The 24,644-nt window shown below is 47.1% G+C and overlaps 1 protein-coding gene across 53 annotated transcripts in view; it reads left to right on the top strand.

Annotated features, from left to right (window-relative positions):
- KCNMA1 (potassium calcium-activated channel subfamily M alpha 1) overlaps positions 1-24,644 on the top strand; it is a 768,207-nt gene that overhangs the window by 137,421 nt on the left and 606,142 nt on the right. For 17 of the 53 annotated variants that reach the window (XM_017016217.2, XM_017016213.3, XM_047425196.1 and 14 more), the window contains exon 2: positions 6,459-6,590. The exons of the other annotated variants lie outside the window; for them this stretch is intronic. In XM_017016217.2, coding sequence (XP_016871706.1) covers positions 6,459-6,590 — 132 coding nt within the window. The remainder of the gene's footprint in view (positions 1-6,458; positions 6,591-24,644) is intronic. 53 annotated transcript variants of the gene reach the window in all.

The raw sequence follows: 24,644 nt of genomic DNA, 5'->3' as shown, positions 1-24,644 counted from the left end.
GTGTGAGCCTCACTTGATTTTTGCCTGGCATATTCTGGTTTATTCTTTTACTTTTAACCTTATTTTGTCACTTGGTTTAGGGTATATTTCTTATAAACAGTGTATAATTTTATATATTTATTTATTATATATTATTGCATATAGTTAATACTATATATAATGTGTACCACACATTTTGATTGTAATAACTAATATGTTTTGGCCTTTCTGTTTTTTAAAAAATGCTTTTTGCAGTCTTTTTTGTCTATCTGTAATAGATATTTAAATTTTTTATTTTATACTTTTCTTTATTAAATTGGAATGTCTACCCATGCTGCCTCTCAAGTATTTAAAACTATTGTTCAACCATATTTTGCCAATGGTTAATGTATAGAGTGAAATAGCCTCTTACTCCTTGCCACGTAAGATAAATAATTTTTCTTCTTTTCATTCCCCCATTCCATAATATTACACTCATGCTTTTATGGTATAATCTGATATTTAAAACTTCTACTTATTATTATTATATTTTTCACATTTTATCTTCTCTTCCAATAAATTTTAGTTTTCATTTTCATTTTGATTTGTAATCACAGTTGTAACAATTATTTAAACCTAATAGATCTTAGGGTTCATTGCCAGATCTTTATTACCATGGACATCTCCTGTTGTTGAATTCCTTGTTTTGATTAATGTCTTAATTACAAATATGAAAAATTTAACACCTGTTTAATCTTCTTGAACAACGTATTCTGCTTTATCGCACTTTGCACTTTGTTTCTTTTAATATGAATGACAACTTGGCCCTGCTGTTGGGTTTTGCAGAGGAGACATCAGATATCAGCTTGATTTTTCTCTTTTTTTTTCATAGATAATCTGATATCTTCTGTTTGGATGCTGATAATTCTTCACCATGAAATTAAAATATATGTATGTATGTGTATATATATATGTGTGTGTGTGTGTGTGTGTATGTGTGTGTGTGTATATATATATATATATATACATGCCTACTGAGCATTTTGACTTTCAGACTTGGGTCTGTCTTCTGTGTTAAGAAACTTTTTTTTGTTTTCGTCTTTTCAGTTAGGTTTATTCTGAATTGGCTGCCTGTCCTCTATATCTGTCATCTTTTTGTATAATCTGTCTTAGACCTCACAGTATTTCTGCTTCTGTATTTTTTTCCTCTTCATTTTGAGAGTGCTTTCTAAATGTGCCCTTCATAACACATCTTGTTTCAGAAATAAGTTCTCTTGACTTTTACTGCAGACATAGAATAGATGGTTTCTCCAAGTTCAATTATCACAATATCACACGAGTTGTTTACTGAGCACAGACTGTCCTCTGTGCACTGTGCTAAGCACTTTGTGTGCATTACCTCAGAACAACTCCAAGGGGCATGTGCTTTGTTTGTCCTCATTATATAGATTGGGGAAACGCATGTCCAGAGGGTTGAGCCCTACTCAGCCTCATCTGGGTACTGACTGGGGGCCAGGACTCAGGTCCAGCCAGTTTCACAGCAGAGCCTGTGCTCTTGGCCATGATGATAATGGCACTTTCCCACCCAGTCCTTTTTTTTTTCAAATTTATTTATTTTGAGTGCTGCATTCTCTACCTTTTATAGTTAAGAATGTTTTCAAGGTCTGGTGGGAGGTTTTCGTGTTTTGCATCCATGAATGCAGTCAGTGTTTGCCTGTAAATAGGGAGGGTCAATTCTCTTGGGCTCCTCTGCTGTGCACCTCATTGCCCATAGAATGCTACTCTCGGATCTTGCACTAGAGCACTGGATGATGAAGTGAAGCCTTGCAGAGACCTGTGAGTCTGGGTGAGTGAGCTGGAACCATGAATAGTTCCAGAAGGGGAACTTAATCCTGTGATATTTCTTCTCTGTGTTTGGTAAAGCCACTGCACCTTGTGCCAACTGTTTGCATCTGGCTTGCTGTTTAACCTGGCCAACATGCCAGGTACAAACTGTGCTTGGACTTGTCCTCCTTCCTGGAGCTGCCACCTGCTGTGTCAGGGACAAGCCCCTGCCCTGGCCAGTTTTCTTCTGGATGTATCTGCCATGTGATTCCCAGGGCTTCTCAGAGCTGCTGCTGCTGCTGAACACTGCTGTGATCCATAGTGACCAGGGAGTCCCGGTGCCTGATACTTGGCTCACCTCCCTGTTCAGCCCTACTGATGTAGGCAGCTCTGATGTGAGGTTCTTCAAGGGCCTCACTCCTTGTTTCACAACCATCCTGCCGCTTCTCAGGGAGCAAAGCTGCCCAAGGGGCCTCCCTGCCTTCTCTTTTTCTGCATAACTGATTTTTTTTTTTCAGATTCCTTTAGGTTTTTGGCACATTGATGGCACCTGTTCCTAGTTTGCTGAGCTGTGGCAGGTTTTCCAGGCATACTGGATTTGTTTTGATTTTGAAGCAGGAATCTGGGCAGGAGGGCATTGCATGCCTGAGCTCTTGTTGCCATGGTATTTGTAAATGGACAAATGTAAATGAAGCCAGTGGCAGCATCCTTCTCCCTCCACTGCCCATGCTCCTGAGTGTGGGAATTGGGGGACAAGTCACTACTTCTTCCTGACTTCTCCTTTACTCACCTGCAAGTTAGCCACATCTTCCACTTTCTCCCTTATTCCCCACCTCAAATACAAAGTCCTAGGAGAAGAGGACTGGGAGCACTGGATTTGATATTGAATTGGAGAAGACCATTACAACCTCAGATTCTAAGATTCTGTGATAGCATCTGTCCTGGTGATCTAAGTCGGGTTAAACTCAGCTCTCTTTTAGGAGATCAAGAGGTTTTATAATATAGGTTGGGTCCCCTGCCAGTTCTTCTTACATATCACACAGTCTTAGTTTGGGGACACAGTTTTTGGAAGCCTGTCTGCGGGGGTTCTGGAACTCAGGGGTGGATGCAAGAAAGCAGCATTGGTTCTTTGTCACGAGGTGAGAGCAACAGTGTCAGGAATAGACTCTGTGAGCTCACCCACCCTCAAGGGGCATCGACTTCCAGTGCATCACTTTCAAGTTCATCTGTGTCTGGCCATAGGCTTGGTCACATGCTGAGGTTTAGTGCATGAACCATCATGTCTACTGAGGTACCTGACACTCCAGAGGCATTCAATATGTTATGCAAATGGCCTTCATGCCCAGGCTAATTAGGGAGTCCCCATTGGACTTTGATTATTCATAAAAGACAGTTGATAATAAAGCCCTGGCTGCTTTTGAAAATTCATCAAGTAAGAATGCAGGGTTTTTCCAGTGGGAGCTCAGACAAAAAGCCAGTGGAAGGACACAATAGGATCAGTGCTGAACTCCCATGGTTAGTTCGCTCTCTGAGATGCATGCACAGACCTCTGCAGAGGCCTTGGGCAACACTGGTCCTTTTGTTCGCCTGGGTCCTTTTGTTTGCCTGGTCAGCAGAGTAGAGGGTGGTGTCCTAGTGAGGACAAAGGATTCAGGAAGAGCAAGGTAGTGTGGGTAGGGGCTGGTAAGGATGGCGAGTGGGAAGACAATGAGCAGAGCTTTGGAGAGCAGAGTTTGAAGTACTTGTGGGACACCAGGTGAAGACAGCCAGGTGACAGCAGGAGCCAGGTGTCCTCAGGCTCTTGCTAGTGCTGTGTCCTGGTCAACACACTTAATCTAGCTGAACTTCAGTTACCTTACCTGTATGTAAAATGAGGATGTTCATAGCTCCCTCACAGTGATGTTGAGAAATCAAGTAGGTAAACAAACATGGTATATAGCTTTGGGGGCCCACTGGTCTGACAGGGCGCTCAACCTGTCCTCTTTTTTTTTTTTTTTTTTTTTTTTTTTGAGACAGTGTCTCGCTCTGTCACCCAGGCTGCAGTGCAGTGGCGCAATCTTGGCTCACTGCAAGCTTTGCCTCCCGGGTTCACGCCATTCTCCTGCCTCAGTCTCCCAAGTAGATGGGACTACAGGCGCCCGCCACCACACCTGGCTAATTTTTTTGTATTTTTAGTAGAGACGGGGTTTCACCATGTTAGCCAGTATGGTCTCGATCTCCTGACCTTGTGATATGCCCATCTCGGCCTCCCAAAGTGCTGGGATTACAGGCGTGAGCCACCGTGCCCGGCCCTGTCCTCTCTTTCTTGAATGGTGCTCCTTCTAGAGCATTCCTTGTAACATGCATGAGGTGGTCTCTTATCTTGAAGACCCGCACCTGGTGAGGAGGGTGACAGACAGGATTCTGTTGTCAAGGAGGTGGTAGGAATGGAGTCCAGGGTGCTGCTAAGGGAGGGCCAGGCTGTATGGTCAGGTGGGCACAGCTGCATGGAGGATGCTTCAGGGGCTCTGGAGAAGAAATGAGTGACAGAGCTTTCAAGGACCACCTTCTAGGGGTGGGGCTTCCAGGCCTCCAAGGAGGGCTCTGTGTCTTTATCAGACCGATGGCTGCCCAGAACCTTTGGCAGAGGGGCTCAGCCTGCCTTGGTGCCAGTGAGCTTCCACACAGGAAGACTTCCTGAGGCTGGTGGCTTTCCATGAGCAACTACAGGGAGGAACCGCGGGGGTACTGGTGGCTCAGTAGCCTCTGCTTCCTCTGAGGGAATGGAGGGGTCAGTCCCTGGTGTGGGGGTCTCTTCCCTGTCCTCTGCTCATCATGAGGCTGGCTTTCCTCTTTTGCCCACCCCTTGGGCTGGGACCAGAGCACAGCCAGTCACCAGTATGGTGGCCCAGCACGGCAGGCTGTGCCTGTCTGTGTACACGCCAGCTCCATGAGGTGGAAGCTTTGGCAATGGGCTCCCAGGGAGCTTCCCCGCAGGCTTCTCAGGGGAATGTGTTGGGAGTAGATGCATGGAGAGTTCGTTTTTTCTCCCTTTCATGAATGAGAAAACGGGCAGAGAAATCACGGCACTCATTGGCCGATGTTTCTGTTGGTGCAGATTACCAAGGGTGCTGAAGTCAAAAGGAGTGAGCCACAGTCAGCCCTCTGGGTGGTTGACTGCCACTGGGGCCTTTAGACCAGGAAGGTGTCGTGACCGAGGTGGACCTGGTGGTGAGATGCAAGGTGTGGCAGCCTGATGCGGAGGTAGCAGAAGGGAGACAGGCCAAGTCAGGGCAGCCGGCAAGGGGCCCATCACAGAGCAGTGCAGGCGGGAGGCCACAAAGGCCTGGGCTGGGGTAACGTGGGGGCTGGAACCGGGAAGCTCCTTCACACATTGAGCCTACTTCTTGGGACTCTGTTCCAGTATATTAGTAATGTTAGGAATTTCAGTTTGGCTTTTTAAAAAGCTGTTTTTCCTTTGAGGAACTCAAATATTATTGGTTGAATTGTGTCTCCCCAACAGATAATGAAGTCCTAGCCCTCCGTACCTGTGAATGTGACCTTATTTGGAAATAAGGTCTTTGCAGATGATCAAGTTAAGATGAGATCATTAGCGTGGGCTCTAACCCAAAATAACTGGTGTCATATTTATAAAAAGGGGAACTTTGGACACAGAGACAGACATGCACACAGGGAGAATGCCTATAAAGATGAAGGCAGAGATTGCGGTGATGAATCTGTAAGCCAAGGAAGGACAAGAAAACTAGGAGAGAGGCCTGGAACACATGTGCCCTCACAGCCCTCAGAAGGAACTGACCCCAACGACATCTCCATGTCAGACTTCTGGCCTCCAGACCTGTGAGACAATGCATTTCTATTATTTAATCCAACTCAGTTTTTGATACTTTATGATGGCAGCCCCAGCAGACGAATTCACCAAGCTTCCCGGATCCCATTTCTTCACTCTCTGGAAAACTGCTCCCTCTGGTGTCTGAGAATCACACGTATGACCTCCCTGAGGGGCTCAGGGTTGGCAAGGCCTCCCCATCTGGGTGGTGAAAGGTGCTCTCTGGGCTGCAAAGAATCCAGACAGCTCTGTGAGCAGCGGCTGCCAATTCACTGACATTGACTGACTCTGGGGACTCTACCCTTTTCATCCCCATGTGCCCGTTTGTCCAGCCCCTGCAGAAACCCCTGTGGGGTCTGGCAGTAAGCGAGGCTGCTGTTCCAGGGAATGTGTGTGCTGAGGCTAGCCAGGCAGCTGGGCTAGCCTCCTCCTGCACAGTCCTTCTTAGGAATGTCCTAAGTACCTATTCAGCCCTGGCCTGAAGCAAAGGAGGCACTGGGTAATGAGGACTGGGACCCCATTGCTCATGGTCCAATTGGCGAAATGCCAGATTAAGCACAGATCACTTTTCAAAGTCAAAGGCAACGTGGTGAGTTTCTTTGGCATTAAAAGTCCTCTCCCATGGTTATCCCATTCTGAGTAGCCAGTTGTGTATTTATTCACCCAGCCCTGTGTTGCGGTTATTGTCTTTTGAGTGTTTGATTCTATCCCCTTTATATGACTCATCAGCCCCCAGAAAGCAAAGGCCCTGTCTTGTTCAGCCTGGCACAGGGGCAGCCGAAATTCCCACAGGGCTCACCTCCTTCGCCTCTGCCTGAGATGTCTTATCAGCGTCACTCTCATTCTGCAGGGGAGGAAACCAAGACTCCAGGGTGGAGTGATTGGCTGTATGTTTCACCTGCAGCCACGCGAGGCCCAGAAGTCTTCCAGTGCTTTGGAGGTTCACAAGAAATATGGTGACTCAACTGGAACCACATTAGAGGTCAGCATTTAACAGGTCCCCTCAATTTTCCCACAAGGGCCAGTCTTGTGTCCTCGGCTATGACCATGAGCCACTGGGGAAAGAGATGCTCTCTTCCCTGCAGCTGCACGGCTCCCCGTGCTGGGTTGGCCACACACTCCCCACCCAGTGCACCTCCGTTGATTGATTGACGTGGTGTTAAACATGTGGCCTTTTGCAGGCAACTCTAGGAGGGTGATGAGCTTTGCAAATCTGCCCAGTGCCTAAAACTGAACCACACACATAATTCACTCACACGCACTCGCTCAGTTGGGCGTGCATTCTCACTGCCATCCTGCCTCCAACTCACGCTTGACGCCTCACAGTTCTGGACTTCTCTTCTACCACACAGCAGTGCCTGCCCTGGCTGGCCAGTACTACATTCCTGACCTTTGGGTTTTGGGTCCCTGGGGGCAGCTTGCTGCCATCCGAACCACCAGGCCCTGGCCCTCAGCGAGGCTTCTCCAAGTGTTCTGCTGCCTTACTTCTGCTTTCGAAGCACCATGCCTGTCCTGGGGTGGAGTCAGAAGTCAGAAGAAGAGGCTGATTAGCCGGGGTGCCCTTGGAGGGGCCAGGGTCTCCTGATCTGCAGCCAGGGCTCTGCATTTAGGAAGCCTTGTCAGAAGCCTGCAATTGGCATTGAATCTGTTTAGAGTGCTCAACCTAGTGCCAGGAACTGTGGGAAATCTGAAGACATGATCAGTTTCCAGAGAGTCAAGACAACCAGCAGAGGATTCAGGTTAATAAACTTAGACTTGTGTTCAGCTACCTGGTTCAAATCCCCATTCACTGGCTTTGACCACAGGAGAATGATTTCACTTCTCTAAGCTTAATTTCTTTGTAAAATTTCACAAGGTATTATGAGCATTAAATATGATAATACATGCAGAATGCTTTAGTACATTGCATAACACATTGTAGGCACTAATACATCTTACCTTACAATACTCTGGCCTCTCCTCTCCACTCCCATACAAGCGAGGACTCTTAGACAGTGCCTGTCATGTGCCAGACATCTGTAAAGGGATCATATAAGCATTAACTCATTTAATCTTTACAGGAACTCAGGGAAAGACTGAGGCACAGACTGACGAACTTGTCCATGGTTCCAAGGTGCAGAACCAGGGTTAGACCTAGACCGTGAGGCTCTTGCATCTGTAGTCTTGCTTAGAGCACTACTTGCAAAGAAGCCTTGGGTAACTTCCCTATACCTCCATTTCATCATCTCGAAAATCTAGATGATGATGATACCAGCTAGGATCCTCAGGAAAGTTCCCTGAACTTCATTAAGGGCTTAGAATGATGCCTGGTGCATCCTCAGTACAGAGTAAATGCAGTGGCTTCAATAAGAAATACAAGTACACAGGTGGCCAACAATTCAAGCTATTAGATGCAGAAGGCCAAGGAGGTGATCCAGCTCTTTCATTATGGGGAATCAGAGCATGCAGATCAGCAGGGGCTGGGTTATGAGAGATGAGGAGTGGGCTGATCCAAATGAGAGGTCAGCTTGAGCAGAGGGGAGGATGTGGGAAGGCAGAGAGTGTGGAAGCCATGTGTTGGGAGCAGGGTCTGAGAACATCAGGTTGGGGACAGCCCACGAGGGACCTTCATTAGCAGTGTGGATTTTCACCTGCACTCTGTCGGCAAGCACTGAAGGTTGTCATTAGCACACTGGCTGTCACAGACCAGAGGGGCTTCCCATTCAGTCAAATCTTGCTGCCCATCCCCAGTGAACGGAGCAGTAGGCAGTGAGGCGGGACCGGCAGGGCGTACAAGATGCTCGCCCATTCCCTCCATTTGAATTGGGCTTGGGACATCCCAAGGGGCTGCTGCCTGGGCCCTGAACACATCTAAGGGCTATGGGTTTATGGTCTTTCAGCTGCTGTTTATGTCACAAATGCCTGTCACAGAAGGGGCATTAAAAATAACCGAATGGCTAATACCATTTCTCAAAATAACTACTTGCAAAGTGCTTTGCTGGGGCAAATGGCTACTAAAATTAGACTCCCTGGTGGTATATGTAGGGTGTGTGTGTGTGTGTGTGTGTGTGTGTGTGTGTGTGTGTATGACTTCTAAACCCATTTCCCCCCAGGGTGAGGCCCACAGTTTGCACCCTTTTGTTCTGTGGTCCCTTCTGTCATAGCTGGGTGTCCCAGAACAGTGTTCACCCAGTCACCCCAAGATGCCCTCTTTCATCCTGCAGTCCTCAGCAAATTGGAGCCACTGCCCTACATTGCCCTGTTGTCCTGCTCTAAGGAGCAGAATTTTGAAGAATCTTGGAGGGCGGGGTGGCCTCATTGTAGCAGTGGCCTAATTCCTTGGTGTGCCAGGTAATAATAGCACGCCGTGGGGGGAATCTCACTCAGCATGCTGTCCGAGGGGAAACTGGGCCATGGAACAATGTGGCAGCCCCACTCAAGGTGACCTAGTAACTGAGGGCACGGACACACGATTTTCCAGGCCCCAGTTCCAGATCCAGGCTCTAGAACTCTTCAGTGGTCTCCTGGGCCAGTCCTTTGGGCCACCAGGCAACCAGGTCACTCAAATCCAATCAACTCTCCATCCACTAATAATACAAAAGGAAATGTGGGATCTTAAGAGCAAGTTAAGAAAACAAAGTGAATCAGCACTGTGGGGGATTTTGGATTCAGGACAAACAAAACCTGAGAGCCAGCGTTGGTTTTCTTTTAGATAATGACTTGCACGGAAAGAGGTGGACCTCAGTGTCTCCATCTTTGAAATGGGGGAACACTGAGTTATTTAGCAACCATTTATTGAGGGAGTGCCTGATGTGGGCCTGGCTCCTACAGTAGGGCTGATTAGGGCTCCTACAGTAGGCCCTGGAGTTACAAAGAGTGGTTCAAGGTAAAAGCAAGGTCAAGATACATTTACAAGCCAGTGTGTTGTCTGTACGTGGCAGCCCTATAAGGACTGGGGTTCTGTGTGGTCCTAGAGATTTCGGTCCTGGAGATGAAAGACTGTGAGTATTTACCTGGAATGGAGGCCCAGGGAGGAATGAATTTCCCTACTCCTGTGAGAGCTGTATGTAAATAGACTGTTTCTGTGTTGGAAAGAGCACAGGCAGAGTCTGTGACTTTAGGCAAACTGCCTAATTTCTTTTCAACTGCTAAATGTGAATAAGCACAGCACCAACCTCCTAGGTCTATTGTGAAGATTAAATGACATAACCTAGTGTGGTCTTAGCGTGTTGTAGGCACTCTACACACTCTATCGTTAGTAGTAGTCATATTAATATTAAACTAGCAAAAACTGTTTGCCCAAGAAGTTCCAGTAAATCATTCCCTTCAATCAGGGTGATGATAATTTTATTTTTTAGTATTATTAAGTCATTGCTGTCTGTAAGGCCATCAAAGAGCTGGAGCCACTTGCTGGAATCAGGCTAGGTCAATTTCTGAATGCTGGAATGAGGTTGAGGGGAGTGAGGTAGAGGATACATTTTTAAAAAGTTTACATGTAATCAAACCCTGGTCATTCACATCTCCTGTTAGATTCATTATGGGAGTTGGATATTTAAGAGGAATCTTTGCCACAAATTCATGTGTAAACCCAATAATTCTCGACTGTTAAAAGTGGTGGGAGCCCTAGATATTAGGATATAGGGTCATTTAACCCCGTGGTTCTCAACCAGGCATGATTTTGCCTCCCATGAGACATTGGCAAATTGGGGTGGGTGCTGCTGGCATCCGGTGCGTAGCGGCCAGGGACACTGCTCATCTTATAATACACAGGATAACCCTCCTCAATAAAGAGTAATCTGGACCAAAATGTCAACAGTGCCGGGGTTGAGAAACTCTGTCCTAACCTGAAGATGAGACAACTGACCACCAGGAAGGGGGAGTGACTTGCTGAGGTTAGGCAGCACAGCTGCACCAGAGCTGGGATCCAAAGTTTGAATCAATTGACCAGAGGCCAGAGGCCAGACAGAACCTTGATACTGTCATCTCACCTGTGAAGTAAATTATCAACCTCACCCATGTGAATGAGGCCTTACTCTATAGTATTTTCAAGGCTCTTTCTCTTGTGATATTAAGCTCTGCTTTGGAAAAACCAGGTTTTCCTATTCTGGGCTTGCTGATAGAGTAAGGATGGTAGATTCAGCAAATGAAAATAAGGTTGTCCAGGCCAGGCGCGGTGGCTCACGCCTGTAATCCCAGCACTTTGGGAGGCTGAGGCAGGCGGATCACCTGAGGTCAGGAGTTCGAGGTCAACCTGGTCAATGTGGTGAAACCCTGTCTCTACTAAAAATACAAACAAAATTAGCCGGGTATGGTAGCGGGTGCCTGTAATTCCAGCTACCAGGGAGACTAAGGCAGGAGAATTGCTTGAACCTGGGAGGCAGAGGTTGCAGTCAGCCAAGATCGTGCCACTCCACTCCAGCCTGGGCGACAAGAGTGAGACTCCATCTCAAAAAAAATAAATAAATAATAAAAAATAAATAAATAAAAAGAAAATAAGGTTGTCCAGTTACATTTGAATTTCAGATAAGCAAGATAGGTTTTTGGTTTTTAGTTTTTAGTTTAAGTATGCCCTATGCAATATTTGAGACATACTTATGCTAAAAAATTATTTCTTGTTTATTCTGAATTTCAAATGTAACTGGCACCCTATCTTTTGTCTGTCAGCCCTGTGAGCTCTACCCATCGCCCTGAGATCACAGGTAGGCCCTGGGGTCATCTACCCCTGTCTGAGGCTCCTGCAACCCTTATGACCCCCTCTGCCTAGAGGGGGAAGATGGGAAGGGGCAGGTGGGCCTTGAGTGGAGCAGGCATTCCTAGCTCCTGGCCTGTGGGTGCCTGGGAAGAGCCGGCTAGCCACACTGGGCTAAAGGGCCTGTAAGTTGAGAGGTTGGCCAAACTGTCCCTTTTTATAACAGGAGAATGGTTTAAATGAAGTGTCAGCAGGTGACCTATGGCCCTGGAAAACCAAGTCTGGAGAAGTTGTGGCAACTTTGCCCCTGATTGGGGAACAGAGTGTCCTCTGCACTTCTACTGGTTTCCAGAGAACATGGCTGCCCTGGCTGAGGAGCACTTGGACATGGTACCTTCCAGGGCTGAGGTGCTGTCTCCTCGTCACCCCTGGGCTCTGGGCCTGCCCCAGGGGCCAGAGTTGGGCGGTTGTTCCTAATACAGGGGGAAATGATGGGCAGGGCTGTGCACCCACAGAGCTGCTGCTGAGCCGGCAGCTCAGCCTTTTTGTTTAGAAGAGGCCTAGATGTGGAGCCTATCAACAGATCAGAAGGGGATGCTGGCTCAGCTGCTCCCTCACCTTGCCTTATCCCACACCCCTTTCACCTTTGCTTCCTTACCAGCCCAGACACCAGGCTCCAAACCAGTCAGTGCTCAGGGTCCGGCAGCCAATGGCACAAGGTGGGTGGCCCACTGCCCTGCCCCATTCCCTCCGCCTCCCAATCCATGGTCCAGGCTGTTGCTCCCAGGTGTCAGGATGCCATCCCCCTTCCCCAGAGCAGCTTCCTGCTAGGAAATCTCATCCTCACAGCTCCTCCTAAAGGGCAGTCAGCTGGCCACAGCCACAACTTGGTGGCCTTTCTTCCTGTTGGCTCAGAACAGCCTTTGAGGGTCTTTGGGAGTAACTGCTTAGGGACTCACCATGTTGTCTGCCATCTTGTCGACATCGTTGGGCCACCTAATGACCAGGGCTGGCTCCACCTGGCCTTTGCTGCATGGGTGCTTATTAATAGGCATATATTGAATGAATATATGCCTATATTCACAGAGTTGAGGACAGTTAACCCATATTGCAGAAGGTGTCTGATGATAAAGGCTGAATGAAGTCATTGGTTCTCAAACTTGAGTGGGCATTAGCATCACCTGGATGGCCTTGTTAAAACGCACAGTACCAGCCCAACCTGGGGACTCCTGACTTTGTAGTTCTGGGGTAGGGACAACTTTGCATTTCTTACACATCCCCAGGTGATGTTGCAGGTCCAGGGCCATCTCTGAGGACCACTGGCTTAAGCTGGTGCCCTTCTCAAAATGTCTTGCATTTCCATTTTACTTTTATTAAAATATTCCTTAATTAACAATTTTTAAAAATCTTCATTGACTACTTACTCTGTCCCATGCACGAAATTTTGGGGATAAAAAGAGAAAAATTGCCTCAAGGAACTCACAGTACAGTGAGAGAATTGCCCATGACAAACAATGACCATTTAATCTAATTACTTTTATTGGGATATTGTGTTGAAGGTGCAATGGGGGTGTGGTAAGGGGAATGTGCAGTGTTGTTGGGGGTATCCCTTTGAGGGCAAGTGTGATAGTGTCTCTCTCTCTCTTTTGTATTGCACTTCTCTCTCTTTCTGTGTATTGCACCAAAAGTATATACTTTTTGAAGAAGTATACACTTCTTTTTGTGTATTACACTTCTGTGTGGCTTGTTTTCCCCAGTTGACTTGCGAGATTTCTAAGGGGAGAGGCTGAGGTGAATCTTGGTCTTCTTCATTTAAGTGTGTTCCAGTTGACATACCAGGCAACCAAAAAAAAATGTATTACCTACAGAAAAGAAGTTCATATCAAAGAAGTGAATGCCTAATGGTGGAATTTCAGGGCCAAGTCTGTGTGGGGGTTTACTCATCTAGATTCTACTATATGTGTTGAGTTCTAGGGCTGAGCTGGATGGAGAGAAAGTTAGGCAGGACGGTACCTTTCCTGGTTCCTACCATCAACATCGCTGACTGAGTTTATGGGGAACACTGCTGGTATTTCATCCTGCAGGGATTCTTGAAACCTGCCATGAGCTAAGACAGCTCATTTTCAAGAGCTTTAAGTGGTCCTGAGCGGATGCTTAGCTGGGGACTTGTCATGGCCTGAGGTGACATACCCTTTCTGCAGAGGGAGAAGGCCTCTGAACCTTTCTTTCTTCAGAACCTGGGGGACTAGGGAGGAAGGGAAACCCCTCCATGACTTGCCTGCTTGGGGCTAGGAGCTGGAAATGGAGACAGAGGAAGCTGCTTCTTATTATGCACAGGGCCAGGAGAAACCCTTGGGCTTTGCCCGGGGCCAGGGCTGGCTTCCCTGTGACTTTCTCTCCACACACCCTCTCATCCTCCCTGGCTTCAGGAGTGACAGATAGAAGCAGAACTAAGCCGGCTGTACCCATCATTAATAACAGAAATATTCAGGATAGCTCATTCTCATGGAGAGCTCACTGTTCTTTGAAAATACCTTAGATTCACGAACAGATTGAAAAGGGTCAAGAGAGGTTAAGAACAGCCAATATTTATAGAGCTTGTGCTCTCAGCCACAATTTCAAAGTGTTCTGTGTGCATTACTTCATTGAATCTTTAGAACAACCCTGGAAAGTGGGGTATAATTGGCTCCATTTTAAAGAAAACAATACCTCAGCTATGCAGTTTGAGTAATGGTCCCGAGATCACTCCAAAAGGAAAAGTGTAGCACCAGATTTGGAATCAAACAGGAAGACTCCAGAGCCTAAGTTCATTCTCTGCGGTCCTGCTCTACTTGGTGGTGGGGAAGGGGAGGGAGGAGATGAGGTGAGGTTGAGGAAAGAATACTTCAGTGTGTGCTTAATCTGCCTCCTCCTGCACCCTGCCCTCCTCCTGAAGGTCTGTCCTGGCCACGGCAGCCTACATTATGTCCTCTTTCCAGCTTCTGTTTTGACCTGGTATTGACATTTGACTTGGCATGGCTTATCATTATCTCTATCTTGTTAGGATTGCAACACCCTAGTGAGCAGGGAATGGCCTCCAGCTCCCTCAGGCTCTCCTAGGATACCTTACAGCAGAGGTCAGGGTAGGGCTGATAAACACTTATAGTTGCCCAGAGCCCGGTACCTGGTCCACAGCTAGGGTGACCAAACATTCTAGTGTGTTTCAGTTTTGGCACTAAACTCTGGCATTCTGGGAGGCCCCACAATACTGGTTGGTCACCCTATATCTCATTTGACAAGCAAGGACATTGGTCCTTGGGGGACACAGTGTGGTCCCAGTCTCACCCATGGTTATTGGTGGAGGCTGATCCCAAGGCCTGCTCTCTGACCCTGATCCAGTTCCCTCTCCTCCTGCTGCTTTAGAAGTGAGGGCTCAGTCTCCTGCTCTTGCTTGTTAGGTCAAAAGCTTTTAGAGACAGCCACTGTCTTCTCTATGGGCTCTGAGATGCTTCTTATTCTCTTTTGGAGAAAAGACCCCCACAGTCAAGAAGCTTTGGCTGAGCCATCCTTACTTACAGAGCTTGTGCTGGGCAAGTCTTGGAGGGTCAGCCTGTGTTCTCTAGGGGCTTGCTAACAGAAAGGAAACGGCTTTTCCTCGAACCACAGAGCACAGCAACTCTTCAGACACGCTCGGTCAGCCTGCAGGGGCAGGGGGTGGTTGCCAAATTCTAATGATCAGAAATTAGAAACGGGAACAGTGAATTCTAGACCAGCAGCCTCCAAAGTGGGATGCACAAAACTATCCTTTGGAATAGGGGAAGAAAATGTTAAGACATCTATTTCTATTTACGTTTATCACTCTTTAAAATGATTACATCTGTGTGCACTTTATTGCGTATGTAATATGAGCACCATATGGTGCATGATGGGCATACAAATACACACGTGGGAGTGGACACTGATGGGGGTTGCTCATTCAGAAGTGCTCCCTATGTCTCCACAGCTGTATTTTAATGATCATGAGGTGGGCTGGCTGGAAGATGGTCACTTTCAGCAGAGGAGGTTCAGAAGAAGGAGAGAGTGAGTCTTAGAGTAAATTGGCTTAGAACATCCCTTAGTTGATGTTTAATGCAGATGATGCTTAAGTGTTTCTGGATGGTGTGTGATTTCTTGGAGCGATTTTGTGCATCAGGAAGTGAACTTCCTGCAGCCACATTTTGCACATCTTGTTCCATTACTTGTCTAACAGGATGCTCACATTAGCTTGTGGGTGACAAGAGGCAGGCTAGACAGAGCAGAGGTTCTCAAAGTGGAGTTTTCATATCAGCAGTAAGAGCCTCACTTGGGAAGTTGTTGGCGATGCAGATTCTTAGGCTTGCTTTCAGCCCCACTGACTTAGCGACTCTTTGGGTGGGGCCCAGCATGTCTTGTTTGGACCATTTGTCCAGGTGATGCTGATGATAGGCAAGATTGAGAACCATGGAGATACACAGGCAGGGGCACACAGTTTGAATCCTGGTTCTGCTCCTGCTGCTTCTGTGGCCTGGGACAAGTGACTGATGGCCCAGAGCCTTGATTTCCCCATCTGACAAATGAGAGTGATAACACCTCTCTCCTGGCATTAGTATGAGGATTAAAATAGGAGACAACTGATGTAAAGTGCTTAGCACTGTGCAGAGCACAAGGAGTTACTGCATATCTAGCCTCAGTTGTGATTTTTACCATTAATTGGATTATGATGGGGGACGGCAACTTCTATAAGGAGGTGGCACAGAAATGTCTGATTTCTCCTTCCTTCTTTCAGTAGCTCTGTGACCTTGGGCACATCATTTTCCTTGCCTATAAGATGTAGATAACGACACCCACGTAACGGGATAAGTGAATGGAGGTGCCTGCAGTGCTTTGCACTTTGTAAAACACCAACTGAATAGGAGAAGTTTCTAGAGAGCTCTTTACTGAGGCTGCTTCTACTTTGTCCTTTCTGGAAAATACTTCCCCTCTGCCCAAATAGTAAATGAGAGAGGAGAAAAAAGCCAGAAATCCCACGGTGCCAGACTTGCAGGCACAAAGAGCCTTTGCACCGTAGGTGACTTTGTTTCCTGAGTGCCATTTTTGGCCCCTCCCACCCTGGTCCTCCTAGATCCTGGCCTCAGCTTACTTCCCCTGTGGTTCCATGTTGATTCCTTATTAAAATGTCACCTGCAAGTCATGAAAACTCAGTGTGGTTTCCTGAAAGAGGAGGGGCAGTGATTGTCCAGAGTGTTCTTTTGTCACGATGAGAATTGCTTGGGCGACAGTGTCAAGACAGCAAATAAATTGCCTCCTCCCCTTCAATGTCTCAGTGCTGTTTTTGCAGCATGAATGGTTCCAGTGTGGAGATAATCCTTGCTCATCTTTTCACCAGGTTCTTGAATGTGGAAAATGGGCAAACAGTTCTCCCTCACCACACACTCCTGTTATTTCCAGTGTCCCGTGGCCATACACCCATCAGCAGAGAGGCCTGGAGTGGCAAGCAGGGGTGGCTGGAAGTCTGCTCTCTTCTCATGAGAGTACTGAGGGCCCAGTGAGGTGTCTGTAGAGCAAGATAGAGCCAGGTGATCGGGGAAGAGAGCCCTCCACCCCAGTTTTCCCAGGAGGCGACAGGCCCCATCTCTGGGGGGAGTGGCGCATGCCTTTCTCCTCGTCACCTGCCCCGATGAGCCCCACATGGATGAAGTGAGAGCCTGTGTCACCACCCCGGCTCCTCAGGAGGCTGGTGATGAATAGGGATGGCAGGAAAAAGGAGCTGGGCTCTGCTGTGACATGTCTCTATTTTTCCAGAAAACTGCCGGATGTCCTTCCCTTGTAAAAGTTGAAGAGAACAGAGGAGAGGAGAAGGGTCGGAGCAGAGAGATTTCTGATATGCTGTTAGTGGCGCTGCCAATTAAAAAGAAATTAAAACAGAAATCTCCGTGGGCTGCTGGAGTGAAAAAGTCTCCTCTCCTGGCCCCTCTAAACCCTTGAACAAATTAATTGGTTGGATGTTGACTGGGTACCAGTGAAATTCTTAGATATTAGGTCTTGTTCTATGGTAGGCACAGAAGAACAAGGGGTGTGTGTGTGTGTGTGTGTGTGTGTGTGTGTGTGTGTGTGTGTGTGTGTATGTGAGAGAGAGAGAGAGAAGAGAGGAAGGATGGGGGAGAGAAGAAGGGAAGGAGGGAGAAAGGGAAGGAGGAAAGGAGGGAAGGAGAGCAAGAGAGAGACTTGGGGGCATCGGGGTGGGTTGGAGCAGTTCAGGGATTGAAATCATGCTGCATGACATTTGGGCATTTTGGGGTAGCTGAGACAAAAACTGCTGGAATTTCATTTTGAAGATAAGAAAAGGACTAGGAAAGAGAGCTTCTTTAGGCCAGAGGAGAACAGATTGAGGCTGTGAAGGACTCTTGGCTCCCAGCTCTTCTTGTTCTCTGTGGACTTTCAAGCTTCTGCAGGGAGACAGTGAACTGGGAGGAATATGTAGTGACTGTGAAGGTTACATGTGGCTGGAAGGGGCAGGCAAAAGGTCCCAAATGGCCCTGTGGTGCTTTAGTTGGCAGAGAGATGGACAAGTTGATCCTGCCCTTATGCCGTCTCATGCATTTGTCCAAAAGCTTTGTTTCTGCTGCGTGGTCAGAGACAGAAGGAGGAGGCTGCCTCCCCTTCCTGGGACCTGGATGTTTTGGTTCATCTGGGTTCCTTTCTGATTTTGTGATGCCCTAAGCCTCCTGTCCCCACAGCCCTTCTTTCCTTTTTGTAGATTCTCTTGCAAACTTACAAAGTGTCTGTAACCTTTGGCCCTGGGACCCAGCATGAGCAGCTTACTGGAGTCAGGACAGATGCACGTGGGTGCTGAGCAGAGCCCTGTGGAGCCTCGGCCTCTGGCCTCCTTGGCCAGCTGCTGCCCTGTCCCAGGGACAGTGTGGCTTCCCAGGGAGCACTTCACTCCAATCTCTGAGCCATAAAAAATTAAACTACAGGGCTATCAAATATTTAATCTGCCTGAATAATGAACATGGGCAGATTCTTATGAATTCTTTGCTTTGATTAAATAAAATTGAAGGATGGGAACTGTCTGCTTGGCACGTTAGCTGAAGGCAATGCAGGGTAGGCACTTTGTGCCAGGGATCTGGCCCTGAGTCTGGAAGAACCATTTGGTTCATGTTTCCTCACCCACTGTCTATACTTCAGTTGTGGATAGCCCTCTGGTCTTTATTCTTCTTACCTGTAAAATGGGGATAATAATGATAATACTACCTCACTTACAAGATTAACGTATGAGATTTATATCAAAAGCCTAGTACCTGGCACCTGTTAGTTTCTTTCTTTTTTTTTTTTTTTTTGAGACAGAGTCTCTCTCTGTTGCCCAGGCTACAGTGCAGTGGTGCGATCTCGGCTCACTGCAAGCTCTGCCTCCAGGGTTCACGCCATTCTCCTGTCTCAGCCTCCCAAGTAGCTGGGACTACAGGGGCCTGCCACCATGCCCAGCTAATTTTTCTATATTTTTAGTAGAGATGGGCTTTCACTGTGTTCACCAGGATGGTCTCGATCTCCTGACCTTGTGATCCGCCCGTCTCGGCCTCCCAAAGTGCTGGGATTATAGGCGTGAGCCATCGTGCCTGGCCAGGCACCTGTTAGTTTCTAAACAATTGTTAATATCATTCATTACTTTATTTCTAAAACAGCATGATTGAATTGAGCATTTCCTTGGACTTGGAAAGGTATGATTTTGGAGGAGGGTGAACCTGTGTAGGCTGTTGCAGGGAGTTCCTTGACATTATCAACTGACCAGTCCATCAACAAATTTATTTGTTCATTTATTTATTAATTCAAGGATGTTGGGTCCATTTTTCAGTTAGACTCTGGAAAGATAAGTGATTGGTCCTATCCCTTAAGGGAAATATGCTTTCATTGGAGAAATAACATGTACACGCTGTGTGTATGTGTGTGTGTGCACGCGTGTGTATGTGCATACACATGTGTATCTTTTTTTTTTTTTTGAGATGGAGTCTCACTCTGTTGCCCAGGCTGGAGTGCAGTGGCATGATCTCAGCTCACTGGAACCTCCCCCTTCCAGGTTCGAGATTCTCCTGCCTTAGCCTCCCAAGTAGCTGGGATTACAGGCGCCCGCCACTACCTCCGGCTATTTTTTTTTTTTTTTTGTATTTTTAGTAGAGACAGGATTTCACCATGTTGGCCAGGCTGGTCTCGAACTCCTGACCTCAGGTGATCTGCCCACCTCCGCCTCCCAAAGTGCTGGGATTACAGGTGTGAGCCACCGTGCCCGGCTGCACGTGTGTGTCTTTATGTGTTCACCCTATGGGGAGAGAAAAGGTTCATGAAAGTTGAGATTACTGTGGGTAGGGTTGTCAGGGAGGGCTTTGCCGGGAGGGGGAAGCTGCGCTAGGCAAGCTGTGGCTCCAGAGTCTTGGAGGCGCCTGTAACAGTCCCTGCGGTTTCAAAAGAATTCAGAGAGGGGAGCCATAGCCTGGTCTCCAAATGTGCAGCACCTTCTGGGCAAGCTTAGACTTAAAGGATATCATTGTAGATAATGATTTGCTTATTTCTTGCTCTAGGATATGGGGACTGTTTCTTTTTTTCTGGGATGCTTTAATAGGATAGTAAAAGTAAACGTGTCCCTGTCTGATGGCCCTTGGCTCAGCTGGAAGAAGATCAGCTCTGCTGCAATTTAGGAAGAGATAACTGGGGTCCATCACGTGGCTGGTTCAGACCAGGGTTTTATGACTGGGATTTGCCTGCTGGAGCCCTGGGTCACTGTGCCAGACTCAACCACAGGTCACAATCTGGAACTGGATCCTTGCTGCCAGATGGGAGGCGGGCAGGGCCAGCCCTATGCTGTCATTGGCCTGTAGCCAGCTCAGGTCTGGTGGCAAGTGAAGGACACATCCTGATGTCTGAGTGCCCTGCAATTTATTGGCTTGTGGTTTAGGGGTGTGGGGGACAAACACCAATGCCACAGTTGACATATATGGGCGTCGTATTTGGTGGGGTCAAGAGTCCGGAGGGAGGCGCATCCAGCTTCTGTCTTGGCTGCAGGCCAGGTCTGCCCATGAGACGGTTCTCCTCCTTAACCTATTCAATCCAATAATCGATGAGCAGGTATTTTCTGAGATCTGAAGTGTCAAGTACTGAAGACATCACCAGGCTTGGCTCCGTGGGACACACAAGGAATTATAAAGCAGGACCCCCTCATCCCCCTCAGGAGCTAACAGTCCAATTGAGGGAAGCAAGAGAGACAGACGCACGTGAAAGGTTAAACAACTTGTCCTAGCCTGAAAGACAAGACCCGTGGGAAACAATTCAGGAAATGTCACCAGGCAGCATCTTCTTAGTGCTGCAAAGATCTGGAGGAACGAATGACCAGCCGGGGCACAGGGGCGAGGGCTTAGGCTTCTGGGGTCCGGTTACAAACTGTGACACCTTGGCCACCTGGGTTTACCTGTGTGAGTCCTGGTCTCTATATCCCTCAGATGGGCACAGTAAGACCTGCCTCAGAGACATGGGGAGGATTTAATGAGACAATGTGTATAGCACATTGCCTGACGAAGGGGAAAAACCTCACTGTGATAGTTAATTTATTGTCATTGGCTGCAGGGGCCAGAGAGTCTTTGGGGAGGCTCTGCTGGTAAAGGCTGAGCCTAGCCTTGTATTGCTCATCTTTTGGATAAGGTAAGGATGGAACCTTTGTGAAGAGGAAGACTGGACACCTCCTGCCCCCTCCCACTGTGGTTTGAGTGGATTTTATCCCGCATCTGTTGTTTGCCTGGCATTGGATGGCCCTCCACACCAGAGAGCTAATGCCTGCCTTCATCACTAGTGTCTCTGTCTCTTTGTTTCATCAGCTTCTTTATGTGAAAAGAGAGAAATGATCTCTGTCTCTTTCCAAATCCCAGCAAGGCTGAATAATATCTGTGGATATTCTTTTCTATTTCTTAATACCCTCGCATTGCTTATGAAAATCCTATGGGCACATTGTAAATTATCTGCAAAAAACAGCAGAGTGCAAAGAAGCAGAAATAAAACCTCCCATAATCACAACAGAAACATCTACTACTGTTCATGATTCGTTTTATTTTCCCCCAAATATATTACTGTGCATTTTTCTTTATAATGCCGAGATCCTAGAATATGTGCGATTTAGTGTTCTGCTTTTCTTCTTAACATTACGTTATCAGCATTTCCAAGTGACACTGGGACTCTATAAACATATTTTAAATGACTATATCTTATATGGATGCTCACTCCTTTTCCTTATATTTGCTCTTTACTTTTTCCTCTTTTTTGCTATTATAAATAGCATTGTACTGAAATCCTTCTGCAGGGTTATGTACATTACCTCATTGGTTTATTTATTTAACAGACTTTGAGTATCTACAATGTGCAATACAATGTGCTTTTAGTTCTGAGAGGAAACCATCTGAAATAGCAAAAAGAGACATAAATGAAATACCTCACATGTAGAGTTTTGTGATACTCTTTTTTATAGTAAGTATACCTGGCTTGGAGTAACACTGTGGGCCGGTTAATTGTTCTGGGCCTGAATTTCTGCATCTTTAGTCACTAGATGGTTTCTAAGCTGCCTCTTGTCTCCAGCACTCTGTGGTCCTGACTGCAAATGTAAGAATCACCGTAGCATTCATCTATCCTTGTGACTCACTAGGGCTGTTTGTGTTTGGAGCATTCCTGGTGCACAGATGATGTGTTGATGGACTTGGACACAGTCTGTTCTCTTCCCCTCTCAGTCATGAGCAGAGCGTTCATCTGCTCAGTGCTTCTTTTTAATAAGTAGTTCAGGGGTTGACTGCAGCTCAGCTCTGTTGGGAATTAACACAGACATAATAGACTTTTATAAAAGTGTGAGCAGAGCAACTAAGCCAGTACAGACTCTTTGCCACATCCTGACATGCTAAGAGAGAGGTCCCCTTTAAAACGCAAGCAGGGTAAATATTAGAAAAATGGCAAGAATTCATAGAGCATAAAGCTCATAATAAACTCAGAGAATGCATTGTCCTGAGAAGTGGTAAAGGAAGGAAGTGGAATAGACTTCAACAAAATGGCATAGAATTAACGGCAGAGGGTATCATGTACCTGCAGGGTATTTGAACCGGGTGATTTTGTGTGGCAGTGCCCGGGATCCACAGACCCTAATGACACCCAAATTTGTGAGGCATTCTTCTCAGTTTATAAAGAACATGACTGAGACCACCTAGCACATTTAACCGGGTCTGAAGGACCAGCTAATTTCCTAAAAATAGCAGTTTCTTGCTGGGCATATGTCTTAGGCTTTGCTGGCTCTAAGAACTTAATATTAACAATTCACACAGAAGGAATCGTGTTCAGGGCATTGACCAATACTCAGCTCACCTTTGAATGGCCAGAGGACACAGCTCTAAAGAAAGGTGTGCAACAAGGAGTGTGGTTGAGTGGGCATGTTATCTTCCTAGGTCACAAGTAACAAAGTGCCACTCCCCAACTCCATATTCATAACAGACATCCATAATCTATCAGGATGTTCTTTCTAGCCAAGCCAAGATGCAACTTCAGGATCTTTTTTAACACAGTGCTCCAGGCAGCCACTACCACACAGATGGGGTTCATTTGCTCCTGGAATAAAACCTTGTCATCCCTAGACATAGAGGCAGTCTTTCCCCTGTGAGCCACAGCATATGAGAAAATGTCACCATCTAGAAGGTTCCTTGGTAAGCACAGACATATGGTGGCCTGATAAATTGCCTTTCTCTACCCTTGGGATCTTTGTCCAAGGAACTAGGTGCCATCTTGAGTCAGACTGGCAAGTGTGGGAAAATAGAATTCTTATTCCTATCAGCCAACAGAATCTTCAGTGTTTCGTGTTATGATAAGGAGTTACACTGCAGACATTTCTCAGAGGGTCTGTTCCTGTGTTTTATCATGTTTTCCATGGCAACCCCTGTGGGATCCACGAAGTTGGTATTATCTCCATGGCACAGATGATGGAGGCCCAAGGAAGACAAATGACCGGCAGGAGGCAAGTCATGCAGCTAAGAGCTTTTCCTGGAATCCAGGTGTCCTGCCTTCAGATGCCAGTTCTCTTGCTGGTTTTCGTTTTTGTTTTTCTAAAAATGTTTTCACCTGTCAAGTATGTGCTACTATGAATTCTGGGAGGGTAGGGTCGTGTCTTATTTATTTCTGTGTTTTTGACTGCTTTTCCTCTCCAATCTCAAGTGCTGTGACTAACACATAGGAAGTACTCAAGAAAATATTTATGGCATATAAGTCAGTAGAAAATCCATTCATTCATTCATTCATGGAAGAAACAAGGAGGTGCCCCGACCTCTTTTGCATGCTGGCCTTTCCAAGTCTGCACTGGGATTGTGCCCTGAGCTTTCATCATAAGAGCAGGGTTCTGGCTGTGAGGCTTACCTGGGCACATGCACCTGAGCAGCAGACGATGACATTATCAGTCCACTGGAGACATTTTCTTCCTCATAAAAAGGCTAGTCATTAAATCCTTATTTGCAGCCTGTGACAGCAGGAGCCAAAAGCCTCTGACCCGCTCAGGACCTGGGGTTAGAGCTGCATGGACCCTGAAGAGAGGGATCCCTGTGCTAAGGCCTTCGGACAGTGGCCCTGACCGAGCAGCAGAGGGAAGAGGGCTTAGGGAGCGGGAAGCACCAATGCTGGGCTTGCAAAGGGCAGAGCAGCAGGAGAGAGGCTGGCATAGGAGGGAGGAGGGCTCACAGGAGTGGGAGGTGGATTGGATTTAGGGCCATCAGGAGGGGTGGGAGGCCAAACAGCTCAGCTCCCCAGTCCCTTTCTGGGGCCATCTTTGTTTTCTGATTTATAATGTGTCCCCTTTGCGGATGGCCTTTTGACATGTGCTAATTATAAATTGTCCTTTGGTGCATTCCGAGAGTTCTAATAATTAGAATTTCTAATTCCAGTCCTCTGAGCTGCTCCCAGCAGCCTCATCCTGTGAGAGGAGCTTGACTCATTTGCTCTCCTGCTCAAAGTCGCTGGAGGAGGCCAGCACCGTGCGGCCTGGAGGAAGTATCCAGGTTTGGGGGTACGGGTGGAACTTCTTTCTGCAACCCAATACAGATAACCCAGAAGACCCTTCTCTTTGTGGTTGTGGTTTGTGTTGAAGAGGAAGATTTTGAAGTCAAATTGACAGGGCAGGATGGTCTATGAAAAAGAACCCTGGACTCTGGTTTTAGTCCAGCCAGAGCCTCACTGTGAGACCCTGAGCAAGGAGATCTTTAGACCTCAGTTTCCTTGGCATAAATCCAAAGGAATCAGATCTGTGATTGCCAAGGGCCCTTCCAGTTCTGAGATTATTTGAATCTGTGAAATGTGCATATGGCGTGTTCTGGG

Source organism: Homo sapiens, chromosome 10, assembly GCF_000001405.40.
Source record: "Homo sapiens chromosome 10, GRCh38.p14 Primary Assembly".
In the NCBI taxonomy this organism is placed as follows: domain Eukaryota; kingdom Metazoa; phylum Chordata; class Mammalia; order Primates; family Hominidae; genus Homo; species Homo sapiens.
Note: the sequence above shows the minus strand (reverse complement) of the source record. Positions and strands in the feature narration are given on the sequence as shown.